At 48.7% G+C, this 14,798-nt stretch overlaps 2 annotated features.

Moving 5' to 3' along the window:
* Window positions 695-744: a silencer, noted in NCBI's record as "silent region_12736". NCBI's record gives its function as "represses an Ori minimal core promoter by ATAC-STARR-seq in GM12878 lymphoblastoid cells {active_cell/tissue: GM12878}" and the evidence as "EXISTENCE:reporter gene assay evidence [ECO:0000049][PMID:35858748]".
* Window positions 5,270-5,770: an enhancer, noted in NCBI's record as "H3K4me1 hESC enhancer chr20:24124334-24124834 (GRCh37/hg19 assembly coordinates)". NCBI's record gives its function as "activates a minimal SCP1, AML or CMV promoter by ChIP-STARR-seq in primed H9 embryonic stem cells {active_cell/tissue: H9 hESC(primed)}" and the evidence as "EXISTENCE:reporter gene assay evidence [ECO:0000049][PMID:30033119]".

The raw sequence follows: 14,798 nt of genomic DNA, 5'->3' as shown, positions 1-14,798 counted from the left end.
GGTGGTGACTTACCCAGCCTTAAAAACTAATCCCAAGACTGCTCACCAGGGACACACCCGGTACTAACTGCCTGAGCTTATGATTCCCCAAAAGCAATGTCTGGGACAAAGCCTTATGTGTGAATAGTTTATCTGGAAGTATGACCTTAGAATGGAGTGTCAGAAGTATTGGCCATGACTCATCATGCAGGGGGTAACTACTACTGTGGGTGGATGCTGCCAAATCTCTTTCTCAGGACAGCCTTCCAGGAGAAGGCAAGGAAAAAGATTTTCCATTGCTTTTGCTCCCCATTGATCAAGGTTTACTTCATCATGTGTTAACTACCTGTGGTAGATTTTATTTTCTAAAAGTGACACAGCAAAATTTCTGGGTCCACTCGCTCTTTCGAAACCTTGCTACTCCCCATCAAGATGTGGGGCCTATGTTCCCTCCCTCAAAACTCGGTGGGACGTTGTGGCTGCTTTGACCAATAGAATTCTGTGGAAATGATGCTGCATGGCTTGTGAGGCCAGTTCATAAAAGGTGTATGTCTTCCTCTCTTTCTCTCCCCACCCTGGGAACCCAGCTGCCATGCTGTGAGGAAGCCCAACCATGTAGAGCTCAGGTGCAGGTGTTCTGAGAGGCATCCCCAGCTGAGGTCCCAGCCAACTGCTGCATCAGCTGCTAGACTTCAGGCTCTTAAACATAATGAACATGGTTATTTTAAGCTACTATGCTTTGAGATAATTGTTACGCAGCTGTAGTGACTGGAACACACCCCAGCACTTCTGCATTGCACGTGCTGAGGGTCTAGTGGGCGTCCTGTACATCCTGTACATTCCATGCAGCTGGGTCAGAGAACCTGGGGGCTGAGGGAGGAAGTGAGAGGCACTTGACCCAGCTCAAGCGTGCACGTGTGTCGTCAGTTGAAGACTGTGGTCACGTGAGCAGCTGAGGCAAGAAGTAATGCTGAGAAGATTGAAGAATGTCTGAGGCAACATGACCACTGAAACCAGGGGAACCAGCCACAGTCTCTGAGCAGCTGTGTTTGTTTCCTCTGTGAAGGACCATGGCTGTGGCTCCAGGGCTGTGACAAGTGCTCTAGAACATCTGGGAATTGTTCTTAAAATCCTGGATCAGGTAAAACTTCGGGAAAATACTAGTTATCTTCTAGTCTTTATCCAGGCCATCACCAACAAATTAAAAAGAGGTGTGTGTACATTTTCAGGAAGCTTCACAGCAGCACGGTTCACAAGTGTGCTCTGAAATTGATCTTTACATCAAGATGACTGGATCCGGTGAAACTGATGGCTGGGCTTAAGAGCCAATGCCTATTCAGAATCAGGTTTTCAGCAAAAAGACTCTGGCCAGACTGCAACTGTGCTTGTGTGGGGAACGAATTTACTCTCAGCAGAAAAGAATCACACCCAGCAGTCTAGACTTGCTTTTTGAGGCTGGCTGGAGTTTGACAAGAATGGTGGGGTTTTCTTGGGTGCAGGGCTGGGTGCAAATTAATTTAGATTGTCCAGAAATAGGCTCTAGAAAGTTTGGTAAATTCTCAAGGAACATGAACTATGGAGGAAAAGGAAATGAAACAAACGCAAAAGATAGGAAAGGCTGAGCCCATCAGGTGAATCTGCTCTGAGGTGGATGAGCAAAGAAACAATGCTTTCCAGCAGCTGCAGTCCTCGTGGTGACCGAGGGGTCAGATCAAGAGAGCCTTTGGTGAAATGCAGGAGCCAGCTCCAAGCTTCAGATCATAGAATGGAAGGGCTTGAAGATGGCCAGTCCTGGCTTCTAGTCAGCACCTAGTCTGACTTGGACAGATGGGAGGGGACACTGCGTGGAGGGCTGGGGTGCCAGGGTTTCATTTTTGTTTTTGATCTTGATGAATAGGGACCAGAGTTTGCTTGTCTTCATTTAACTGCTGTCATGTTGTCCCTACTGTACCAAGCGTGAGGTGGCATGTGCTCCAGTATATGTCTCCCCTACCCTTCTTCGGCAGGAAGTAACCACTTCAAAATTCCTTTCAGGGTAGGGAATCATTTCACCCAGATGTCATTATTGTTTTTATTGTTACTATTTCCTATATATGTGATTTCTAACACTTAGGTGGGTAGCACTTTTCCAAATAGATATCAAAGAGTGTTGGAAAGACAATTTTCAAAAGGCAAAATAAATAAACTAAAAAACAATTGGGAATGTTATTCTTTTGAAAAAATGGGGCCAAATGTATTTACACTGAATAGCACAAATAAAAAACATGACGTGTTCTCACTCAGCATGGCTCCACTTAAGATATCACAAACCCAATGTACTGCCCTTTGAAGAAGCATCTATCTTCCTGGCTTTTTCTTTCTCACATTCTTGTACAATTTTTTTGTGATCTCGTTGAGGTACCTGGTTACTTGCTATCTTGGGTTTTCCATCTTCAAATGCTCCAGGACTTTTCTTCTTTTCTTACCTAGACTATACTGAATTGTCAATCATTTAAATTAATAAATCATAAGCACTTTTGATTCCCTTTGTACTATTTTCCTTCTGCCCCTAAAAAATTCCTACCCTGGGTTATGGTCACTAATTTTGGAGAAAACCCCATAACTGTACAAATTAGAGCCACAAAATCACCCCCAACTTCAGCTGGGTCTCTAAAGCTATCTGTTAATTTTTCTGTCTTTTCTTATGCAGATTTCTCTTTTATTTTTAAATATTTATTTTTATCCCTCTAGCCTCCTACTAACTAGGCTCAATTAATTCTTAGTGGTCAACTCTGACTCTGAATTCGCTATGGAGTCAAGACACCCATGCATTAACTTCTTCAACCTCCAGCCCCCGACCTGAAGCCTCACCCCCAGTCTTTCCCTCCTCACCTCTTTTCCCTTGTATTGGGCAATGGGGGTTCCCTGCTTTTCTGAATATCAATCAATACCATGTCCTTGCTGTTGGCCTGTTCTGACACACTCTGTTTCCAACACATCAAAGGTCCAAGGCCACCTGAAAGGGCTCAAACAAGAGCTGATTGGCCAGCCTCCTGGCAGATAGTTCTAGAGAGGCTGCAAAAATCCAGGGCTTGGCAGGAGTTCCAATTTCCTGTCTAACTCCAAGACTCCATGATCAAGCTCTGTGGGCCAAAATTACAAAGTCACTGCATCACTGGGTGAGGCAGAATTCCATAACCCTGTGTTATACAAGTTGCTGGCAGCCAAGTGTCCCCATCCACACAGATACCACTTCCATTCCTAACCTCCTTCTCTCATGCTTTCCCCATCTCACCTTTGGAAAACACTGTCTAGTCTTGCCCTGAAGTTCCCAAGGAAATGAGTTCAATGCGAGTCAGTGCAGTGGGATGACCCTCCTCACCCGCCTCAGTAGGGGATAAAGAATGTCTAATTGTCACCTGTCATGCACCTGACTCTCAAGGTAAAATAATGCTTTATACACTTCAGCAGAAGAGGACTGCCCAAAATCAAGAACAAAAACAAAAACAAGAAACATAAATAGCAATGACATGACAAGTAATATAATTAGTGATTTATAAAAGGCAATCTTCTTTGTAGAAAACAAGTTAATGGACACTGAGGCCTGACTTAGATGCTTGAAGAGCAAACTCATTCAGAGAAAAATGTTCCCAGAGATAGTTTTTAAGAAGGGTAAAAAATGATGCTCCTCAAAATCCTAATCTAAGCTTTCATCATTGCAAAGAAAAAACATCCTGAAATTGTCAGGAGGGTGGGTTATAAATAACAGATACTAACTTTTTTAGAAAAAATAAAAAGGATGGCCCCAGAAGAGCAGAAAATCTGGAAGGTGGAGATAAAAAGACACTGAAAATATGTCTGAGCAGAGCTAAGAGCTGGATAATTGAGCAGGTAAAGAACAGGCCTGTGGGACTAATCGGGGCAGGAAGGATGTGAGGCTGTAATGATAATAAGATAATTGCTGAGGTGTGAAATACTGCTCAGGAGCTGCAAGTGCACACTGAAGAGGGAAGCTGGGCAGAGAATCTGCCTATATTCATCATGATCAATAAAGTGTAATAAACTTGTATTGATGATGCTGAAACTGCCTTATGATTGTGTACTTAGTTGTTTTCATTTTTATTTTTAGAGATGGGGGAAGTCTTACTACATTGCCCAAGCTGGCCTTAAACTCATGGGCTTAAGAGATCCTCCCACCTCAGCCTCCCAAGTAGCTGGGACTCCTACAGCACCTGGCTTGCCGTATTGTAAGAACCCAACAGACAGAAATAAAGGTAGTGATGTGGATGGTGTGGGGTGGAAGGATGGCTAGATTGGGAGTCAAGAGACTTCACATCAGCTCACTGACTGAGTGGTGTGGACAGGCTCTTCTCCAACCCAGGCCTCAGTTTACCCATCTGTGTACTGAGCGATTGGACTAGAGTCAGGGGAGTCAAGCAAAGGAACACCTCTGCTTGGATCTAAATGTTCCAAAAACACCCAGAAATTGTAGGCAATATTGTACGCATCACCAGTTTTCCAGGGGTGGGTCTGTAGCTTTCCTTAAATTTCCAAAGGGATATGAGGCTCAAACAAGATTAAACGTTACTAAACTAGATTATGTCTAGGAAACATTCTACTCCATGATACTATGTGTAATGGATGACCATGGAAATAGGGACTTTTAATGTCTTTATAGACATCAGGACCTATGACAATTGGCTATTTAAATGCAAGTCAGCTATAGGGTAGTCACACACAATTCTAATATCATAACCAGATTATGTTTTATGTAGATAAATGTCTTAATTTGAATTCACCCAAAAGCAGACACCAGGATGTATGAGCAGATAGTTTCTCGGTGGTGAGGGTGAGGGGGTTGGCGGTTGGGGAATCCGGGAGTGAGGGGTGGGGAGAGTGAGAAGGGAAGGCTGTGTTGGTGAACCTGTTACTGCTGTGGGCAATGAGGCCCAACCCTGCTGCGACCTCTGAGGAACCACATAAGACGCAGCTCAAAACCGTCCCAACGAGATGAGGAAGCTGTGTTGATTTACCCAAGGACTCCCGCTTATCCTCAGTTGAAGGTTGTCCCTGGAATGTAAAATCCAGGTGCTTTGCACATGTGCAGAGGAGGCTCCCTGATAGAAAGACAGAGAGGCAAATGCAGCGGGTTGGGGGTGGTCAGCAGAGAGGGGTCGGTCCATTCCAGCTTCCTGTGGACACTGCTGGCTGAGGGTTGGAGGTGGGGCAGGAACAGACTGCACCTGGCACACAGGCCAGACCCCCTCAAGCCCCTCCATGGTGAGTGCCCCCATGAGCCATTAGCCCTCAAGGCCTGAGACGTGTGTGTGGTAGGAGGTTGCCTGGGACAGCAGCCCGCACTCACAGCCTGGCTCTGTCCCGCTGCGTCCTGGGATGTCCTATGAGGGGGAGGCAGTGAGCACAAGACTGACCTCAGGGGCGGGAGCACTCAAAGGGACTAGCATGTGTGCCAGGCTCAGAGGAGGCCCACACGGGAGAACAGTCCTGGCCACTATCACTCTTACTATTGCTGTTGCCATTTTATGTTTAGTCTTACTTGAACACCCTCCAAGCTAAGTCTTCACTTGCAAAACTACCGAACTGTCCTTTGAAGGTCATATGTGGGGACAAAAGTGAAGGCTTTTCATGGCAGGAATCTGGGTTCAGCAGGGCTTGATGGCTCTCTGAACATTATTGGAAGAAAACTGTAGAAGAAGGCTAGTCACCTTTTTAAGAAGGCTGGCTTCTTATCTCAGGGTGGGCTGCCTGACGTTTGTGACTTAGGGAAGAGGAGAGGGCAGCTGTCAGGATGCTGTCATGGGGGCAGTGCTGGTCCAGAGCACACTCTCTGAGGAGGCCTGTTCTGGGCTGACCAGTAAGCCCATCCCAGACCATGTCCCTCTGGCCCACAAGCCATCTCTCCTGGAATTAAGCCCAGGTAAGGATTGGCCCCTGGCACTTGTGGGTCTGGTGCGTTCTGCATCACCACCTGCTCCCATCTTCAACAATCTGCTCTGTCTTGGCCAAGTCTAGAAAGACTTCCCAAGAAGGTCAGCTTCACTTTCACTGCCTTGGTGAGGAAGAAGCTGAGCAGACAAGATCCGGATCCAGATCTACCTGCAGGATCCCCAAAGCAAAGCAGGATTAACACAATTGACAGGAGAATTCAGACAACAGGTGTTGTGCATTCACAGGCTGCCAGAGTAATCCTGCTTGGGAAAGACCTGAATGTGCTTGCAGGAGAAATGCTGGGGCCAGCAGATGTGTGAAGCTGGCAGGAGAAGCTCCCAGCACAAGTCTGCCGTGGGGGAGTGCCAGGGAGGAGGGCAGCCCAGGGCACTGTGGGGAGCCACACCCCAGCACATGGCCCTGCCCTCATGGTTCTCAGGTGGGGTGGGAGGGAGCTCAGAGTCTGGTGATGGAGGCAAATGGGAGGGAGGTTTTGTGAGGTGCTCTTGGGACAGCCTAGGGTATATTGCCCTGACACTTAAACCCAGGGTGTGAGAGGATGTTTGTTTTAAACTTCCCACTTTACTTTGTCAGGCAGGAACTGGTATTGATCCCATTTTAAAGCTGTGAAAACTGCGGGGAAAAAAATGAAGTGACTTGCTTGAGGTCCCAGAGCTAGTGGCAAAAAGGAGCAATGAAGTCCATGACGGCCTGAGTCTGCTGGATGTCAAGACCCTCAGTTCCAACGATTCGACCTCATTCAGCATCATCTGCTGTGCTGATGTCCAGGGGCCAGAGCAGTTATTGCAAAGGAAGATTTCTCTAAGGCTCTTCCTATTTTTCTGTTAGCCATGCAAAGTTTATAAACTTTTATTAGGATAGCAGTAAATTGCAGAGCAGTGACAATATGTGAAAAAGGTCTTGCTTCACTCAATTAAGTATGTTCTGGATGGTTACAGACTTCATGTAGGAAAGAGTTTGCATCCCCTTCAGTCTCCTAGCACCTACCCAAATACGTGGAGTGGAGTGAATTTATGTATAATGCTGGCTATGTCTAATCTTGTAGGTGATGTTTATTGAAGCACCAAATGCCAGACAGTTGAAATTCCTGCTACATATGACCTCTCATTTGATCTTCAGGATGAAGTGAGTGGGATGTGCACCACCCCCTGACAGGCAAAGAACCTGGGGAGGAATGGGGGAGATTTGCTCGGGGTCACATGGCAGCCAGAGGTGGGAACAGGCTTTCCCACTCGGTGTCAGTCCCCAGACCAAAGACCTTGTGACTACAGTGTGCTGCTTGCTTCTCCAATTGAAGGCTGGTGGATTTTAGATGCATGCCTGCTTGTATGAATGTTAATTTACAATTAATAAAATTTAAAAAGTAGTAATTATGAAATAGGAAAAAAATAGAAGGGAAGGTTAGAATGTACACAACTCCCCCAGATGAATTCCAGGGATACTTCCTTATGAAACCGAGCAGAGTGGGATATCACTGATGAGGCTGTTCTCTGGGGTTAGGAAGAAGAGAGGTGATGGGGTTTATGCTTTAGGGAGAGACATTTTATCTCAAGACTTAGAACCTAAGTGACCTTAAAAAGTGTGAGAGAACTTCATGATTTGAATGGGAAAGAAAAAGATAAAAATCAAGACTAAATCTTTGTGGAAACTTTATTGGTTCCAATGCAGGCAGGAGGGTGGCTCCATCTGCAGGAGGATGGCCTTTTCAGGCACCAATGCTGACAGTGACAGGAGGCAGTCAAATGCCTAGGCAAACAGGGGTGGTTCCCTGGTGAAACCTCACCTTCGAGCCAAAACACCCTGGACTGCTGGTTCCGGATGAAACCCACGACCCAGAGTGACAACTTCTGTTCCTGTTTGCCTACCCTTCCCCAATTGGTTCTTTCTGAATAATGCTTTTAGCCAATTGAATGTTGACTTTCCCAATACTACATCATTTGGCCCATGGCTCCTCCATCCTGTGCCTATAAAAACCTCAGACTCAGCCACACTGGGGAAGACAACCTGACTTCGGGTGAGAGACCACCTTCCTGTTCCCTCTCTACTGATAACTGTTTCGTTGCTCAATAAAACTCTCCGTCCTCATCACCTTTCAATTGTCAGCATGACTTCATTCTTCTTGGATGAGGGACAAGAGCTCGGGACCCACCAAAGGCGGGTATCCAGAAAGGCTGTAGCACTGTGTTCCCCTGCCCTCACAGTGGAGGGTAGCTGCCCCACACAACAGAAACAGGAGTGGGGCCCAGCCAGTCCCACAGCTGTGGGTCAGAGTGGGCCACGGGGCTGACTGAGCTGCTAACACATTGCTGTTCATCAGGCTGTGGATAGCAGAACTAAAATAGCTAATTAGCACACTGTAATACCCCCTCTGAGGCTTAGGGGTCGCAGGCACCCCTGACTTGGCACCACCATGTTCCCCTTGGGGTGACACACCTGGTCTGGTGTGGGCTTTGCACAGAGCCTGCTCCTGTGTCTGTGCTCAGACTGGCTGGCCAGACCCCATACTTGCTCACTCACATGTTCCCACCAGTCAGAGGCTGAGCGCACAGTCGTGGCAGCATGAGATCCACACCAGAGGCTTGCCTTTAGGCATGGCTAGGTGGGCTGAGTCGATGGGGCATCTCCTACCGGGAGCCCAGCAGAGGGGCTGAGAAAAATCTTGCTTTAGTGCAACAAGGGAGAACTGGCCTTGAGCTACTTGCATGGGGCTGGGTTAGCTGCTACTCATCCTCACTGAGGAAGGACAGGACAAGAAAGAGGAACAGGCAGCCACACATCCTGGGACACCAGCAGCACCAAGTACAGGCATAGCACCCTTCTTTCTGTGGGAACAGCCCTGGCCACCACCCTCTCCCTAGGGCACCTTGAGCCTGATCAACTGCATGGCCCTCCATGGGTCCCTGCACTTCATAGGCCGACTAGGTGTTTTTTGCCCTAAAATTAAAACAATAAAATAGATACCAACCACTACGTATGTGGAAGCACAAAGATGAGGTGTGCAGTTCACTCCTGCATGACAGTTCTAGAGGGGAAGGCATCAAGTATACAGATGTCTGCAATGCAATGGCATGCACTGGGATTTGGGGAGAGATTCAGGAGCAAAGGGCAAGGACAACTGAATTCTTGGGGACTTGGGGACAGGATATTGGGGTGGAAGTCTCTTAGGGGAAGATATTCAAGTAGTAACTGATTTGTACCCACTCCCATTCCCACAAGCCCCTCCTTTCTTTGCTCCCTGAGACTTTGTCTCTTATCCCAAATGCTTGGCCCAAGGACCACATCCTTTGGGCCTGGTCAAGAAGGGACAGCAGTTCCTATCCATGCCCTGCCCATGTCTCCCAGACCCTTCACTGTACTCTGCCAACTTACAGCTACAGCTGGAAGCATTTCTATGCTAGGAAGCTCCTTCTAGAACCACAGAGGCCCTGCCCTGGGCCTGAGCCTAAAGGTGCCCAGAAATGAGCATCCTCTCAATAGCAGCAGTCAACCAAGGACTGGGGTAGCTGGGGATAGACAGCCCACCCCGCACAGCCCTCTGTAACAGAGTGCCACTCATGAGCAGCTTAAACAACAGAAACTTGCCTCTCTCAGTCTAGAGTCTGCAAGTCCACAAGCAAGGAGTTGGCAGGGCTGTGCTCCCCCAAAGCCTCTGGGAGTTCCTTCCTTGCCTCTTCTAGCTCAAGACTGTGGCCCCATACATGGCCTTCTACCTTCTGTGTCTCTGTGTCTCCTCTTCCTATAAGGATACCAGTCCTTGGATTTGGCTTACTCTGGTGATGCCATCTAACTTGATTGCATCTGCAAAGACCCTGTTTCCAAATAAGTCACACCCACAGGTACTGGGGCCAGAATGTCGACATGTCTTTTGTCTGGACATCAACTAACCCATAACACTGTCTGACGAGAGACTTCCCAGGCGCGGCAGAATCTATACATTTCCTAGGTATCCCCGAGTGATTAAGCTCCAGGTGACCATGGTAATTGGCTTATCAATACGCCCTCCTTCCAGGGACTATTCCCTCACCTCCTAAATAAACCACTTGACTTTGAATTCAACCTGAGACACAGGCTTCAAGTTCATGGCTTCAAGTTCATGGCTTTGGTGAGGGGGAGGGAGAAGAAGGACAAACCATGGGGACTGGGGCCCAGTCAGCCTCCAGGCTTCTTCCCAGAACATTTTGGGATTGGCCACCTCCAGGTCCAAACCAGGGAGTGACCTGGAAGCCAGATGGTAACATCACATGGGGGCCAGCAGACCTGGGTCTTTCAGAGAGCAGCATTGGGTGCAGAGTCCTCTTCTCAGCAGTAGCCAGCATAGCCTCCCGGGCCATTCAGCAGAACTGGGGGCCTCTGTGACCTGGGATTCTGCTCAGCACCATCCTGTCTACCCCATGTGGATGCCCTGTTCCAGCAGCACAGAACCCTTGGAGCCCCTTACTGCAGGTCAGACCAGAGAAGCCCCACCCTGGCCCCAGCAAAGGAAGGCATGGCCAGTGCCCAGGGTCCCCTCAGTGGACGCACCTTCTGTACCTCCTGTGTCATTTAAATGAACTCTGAGTCAGGCCCTGCAGGGTGAAGACACATTTTCTAGGGGGAGGAACGGGAGTGGCTCTAGGCAAAGGAACACCATGTGAATGGCAGGCCAGGAGGACAAGCAGGGCTGTGCCCAGGGCAGGGGTTTTTTGCCGTTCAAGCCCAGAACCAAAGCCCTGATGGGCACACACAGAGCCATGAAAGATCTTAAAGCCACCAAAGGACAGGCTGGACAGGGGAAAGCTGCATTTCAGAAGCCTTCATGGTGAGGTAGGCAGGAGGAGAGAGAGAAATGGGTGGCTGAGAATGTGAAGCTGGAGGCTCTCAAATAGTCTTGTGAGAGAGGATGGAAACCTGGAATGAGGCCGCAGGCCAGGCTGAAACAGAGGCCAGGGTTGGACTTGAGAAACAGGTCTGTAGTTGCATTTAAAGGGCTGGATTCCCTGTACGATGGAAAGGAGACTGGCATTCCTAAGTAAATGATGGGGAAAATGATGTTAATGTCACTACAGGGATGCAGTTGGAAGCTCCTTTGGGACTTGGGGACTGGAACTCTGTCATTCTGCTTTCTGCACTGGCAGGTTCATTGCAAGCAGTTAAATGGGAACCTTCACAGGCTCCACCTGCAAGTGTGCTGCCAAAGAGCATTGAAGGAAACCACTAGGGACCAGCAGCCTCAGCACTGCCAGGGAAAATGACAGAAATGCACATTCTTGGCCCGGCAGCTTACGGAATGAAGTCACAAACCCTCCAGGTTCCACCTTGAGAACCACTGCCCAAGAGCAGGCTGTCTCAGGCTGCACCCACTGGGGTTGGAATGAGGATCCTGTATTCTCTTCTCCCTTTCCATCTTCCCCATCCCCGCGGGCTCACAGCCCCTCCTTCCAAGTACAAATATTGGCCACTCTTCTATAGAAATACCCCTTTGCCATTGAGCACTGTTTGCCATTGGCCTCATAGACATCTGCCAAATTCTGAGGACATTCCTGAATATAAACCTAAGGAAAAGAAAATTCCACCTGGGGTGCAAAAGCCCCAACTTCATATTGGGGGGCACTGACGTTGCAGTGAGGTCCTGTTGAGTGGCCCCAGCAAGCAACCCCACTGCTGCCTGGTGCCAAACTGGACAGCGGTGAAATGAACACAACTTATCTTTTAGCGTTGCCAGTCTGAGGATGGTAAAGCATCACTTGGGTGGGAGCCCTCTGGGGCCATGACGATAGTGGATAGTGCACTGCTGGCATCCACAGAGGGCAGGAAATCCTGCAGCCCTGCTAGTGAATCCCTTAATCAGACAATATCACACCAGACCAGGTAAAAAAAGATAATGCCTCTAGTAGGTGTACCATCAAAGCCACCCAAAATGCCACCATGTTCATGTAAACGTAATCCACAGTATCAGGTCATTCCAGCTCCCTTTTCTTGGTGTGCACCCAGGAGGAATCCAGGAGGGATCTATGAGCATGAGAAACAGACTTCTCACCAGCATTAGGATCATGCCTGCCAAGCTTTCGAATTGATGCTGAAATTTACTAACATGGAAAGCACTCATACCAGTACGAAGCAAGGTGCCAGATGCTAACTAAATCCATTCCACCTTAAAGAGCATTTTAAGGAATCAGATGCTTAGGGCCTCTTACCTAATTACTGTTTTTATAACCATAAAGTTTCTCTAAGCATTTATAATGTAAGGATCTCTGGGCTCATTTTCATACTGCTGCTTTTTTAAATCTATAAAGGATACAATTTTTTTGATCTTAGGGAATTAGAAGAAGAAATTTATTCAAATAATTTTCAAAAAGAAAAAGTCTGAGGGAGAAGTGCTGCTTTGGGACAGGCACAGAGTGGGACGAGAATGGAGACTTCAGGCTCCATGTCCCCGCATGAAGCAGCTGTGGAGGCCCTGGGGGTTGGGACAGCTCAGCTCCTCTAAGTCCTGCACTTATTTCCTTGTTTCCTGGGGAGACACCTCACCTCCCAGCCCATTTTTAATTCTGTAAACTGGAGACAGGCCCCACCACAGGCATGTGAATATTACACAAGATACAAAAAGGGGAAGGTACAAAATTAGGTCACTCTGATAATTACTGTTCATCATGGTAACTAATATTCCCTGACACTTTACACTTTCCATGAATTTTTTTACACCTTCCCTCCTTTGATCAGAACACAAGTAAAGATGACACATAGGTCTGCCCACAGCACAGGGCATATGGCAGCTCTGCACATGATCTCACTTACTAGTCAGCACACCTGCTCCAGGAGTCAACAGCTGGGCCTGATAAACTCTGCTGACATCTGCAGAACCCTACAGATGCCAGGCTTTCAGGAATGGAATCCAGGATACAGTGACAATGTCCCAGAAAGAGTCAGACTGGACACTAATGAGCACCTGTCATTTATACCCTGTGGGCTAGATCTTCACTGTTCAATATGGTAGCCACCACCCACACTCAACTTTTTAAATTTAAATGTGAATTAACTAAAATTAAACTAAAATCAGTGCGCCGGTCCCACTAACTGCATTTCAAGTGCTTAACAGCTACGTGGGTCTGGTGGCTGGTGTATGAACAGCATCAGAAAAGAAATGCCTGTCTCCACAGGTGACTGGGCAGCACTGGTCCCGTTGCACCTTAACCCCCAGGTGTTCCTCTCTGTCTAGTTCCAGGGGTTATGAAGGAGACGTCCACACCCAGGAGGGTCCATTCCTCTGTAACCCTTTCCTGCTTGGCCTGGCATGTGGAAATGAGAAGCAAGCCTGCCCAGCATGGGTGGGTCCTGCGCGGCGGGGGCCTATCACCTACACTACCTGTGAGTCCCTCAGTGTCCACAGAGCAGGTCCCACCATCCCCTTCATAGTTTAGGAAAGAGATGTGGCTGAGCATGGAGGGCTGGCCGACGCAGCTCTGAGCACGGCTCCCTCATCTACCCTGGGCCTTGTTAAATTCTTAAGTGAGGCTCTCAACCCCGATGATCACTTCTGACCCCGATAGGCACACAGGAGACTGTGGGTTGACACTCTGTAGCCGAGGGGCATGTGGCTTCTTGAGAACAGAGGCGCATCCTGTGAGTGTTTCCAGGAACTGCTGGTGCACGGCCGGGAAGCAGGAGAGGCTCAGGCTGTGTGGCTTCTGGGTACGCAGCGCATGTGCTCCCTGGTTGGCTGTTGAAGTCCGGGTAAGATGCTTTCTATTGCTGTAGTTTAATTTCCCTAGTCATACCAGGCATCCATTTATTCCGAATTTCCCATAATGGATCCAGAATGTGTAAATGAGTTATTTGAGGGTCTGAGAAAAGCCATCTGTGTTGTAAAGATTACCCAAGTCACTACGGAAGTCACGCTGCCCTGACCGAAGAGGCTAGTGAAAGCCCGGTAACAGGCAGGGAGCACAAAACAGGAGTGGGCTTTTTTTTTTTTTTTAAACTTTCCCCAGAAGTCCAATGCCTCCTTCCAAAGGTAAGCTCCTGCTCTGCCCAGAGATGCAGCACCCGGGTAGACCCCAGCTCTGCCCAACATTACCAAGTGAGGCAGTGAGGCTAGGAGGCCTCCTGGAGGCCGCCAGGGCAGCTGTGGGGTCGTGGAGTTGCTCACCTGGCCTTAGGCATGCTATTTAATCCTCTGAACCTGAGTTTTCTTACGTGTGAAGTGAGGACAAAATCCTGCCCAGGGTTTTGGGACAGAATGTAGGAGATACAGGCACAGTCCTGCCGCACCAAAACGCTCAAGCAGATCTGTCATCTCTTTACCAGTGAGCGGGAGAGACCCGCAGAGCGCGGGGCTGCGTGAGCATTTGTGCCTGCCCCTTCCCCGGCGCCACCACCTCCGCACCCATGTGTCCATGGACTCACCTCACAGTGTCCCTACCTCGTACCTGCTTTGATCCAGAATCTGATCCCAGCTAACCCCAATCCAGGGCGGTTTCGCGGCCTCTGCTGCCGGGGTCCCGACCCGGCGCTGCCCAGGCTCACCGCTGTCCTCTCCAGCCTCTGCTCCACTGTCCCTGAGTCAGCTGGGTTCTCTCAGAGCCGCCTCGGTGGAGACTCAGATAGAAAGGGAGGCCCTGAGAGCCGGGAGCAGACCTCCACCCTGAACCGGGCAGCACAGGCCAAGGATCTGCACTGGAGATGGGACCAGCAAATCTCCTTTTCAGAGCTGTGCCCTAGAGTTCTGTTCCAGTTACCCCGTTCTCCCCAGTGGCTGCTCCAGGCTGGGCTCCCACACTGTGCGGTGGGCAAAGGCAACATCTTTGCCCTTATGTAAACGGCAGGACCTGGTTTACATGTATCAATAAAACAAGCCATTAAATAAAATGTATCCTGTCTTCCTGCCTTAGCAA

This window comes from Homo sapiens, chromosome 20 (assembly GCF_000001405.40).
Source record: "Homo sapiens chromosome 20, GRCh38.p14 Primary Assembly".
Lineage (NCBI taxonomy): Eukaryota > Metazoa > Chordata > Mammalia > Primates > Hominidae > Homo > Homo sapiens.
The sequence above is the reverse complement of the archived record's forward strand: the minus strand, read 5'-3'. Positions and strand labels throughout refer to the sequence as shown.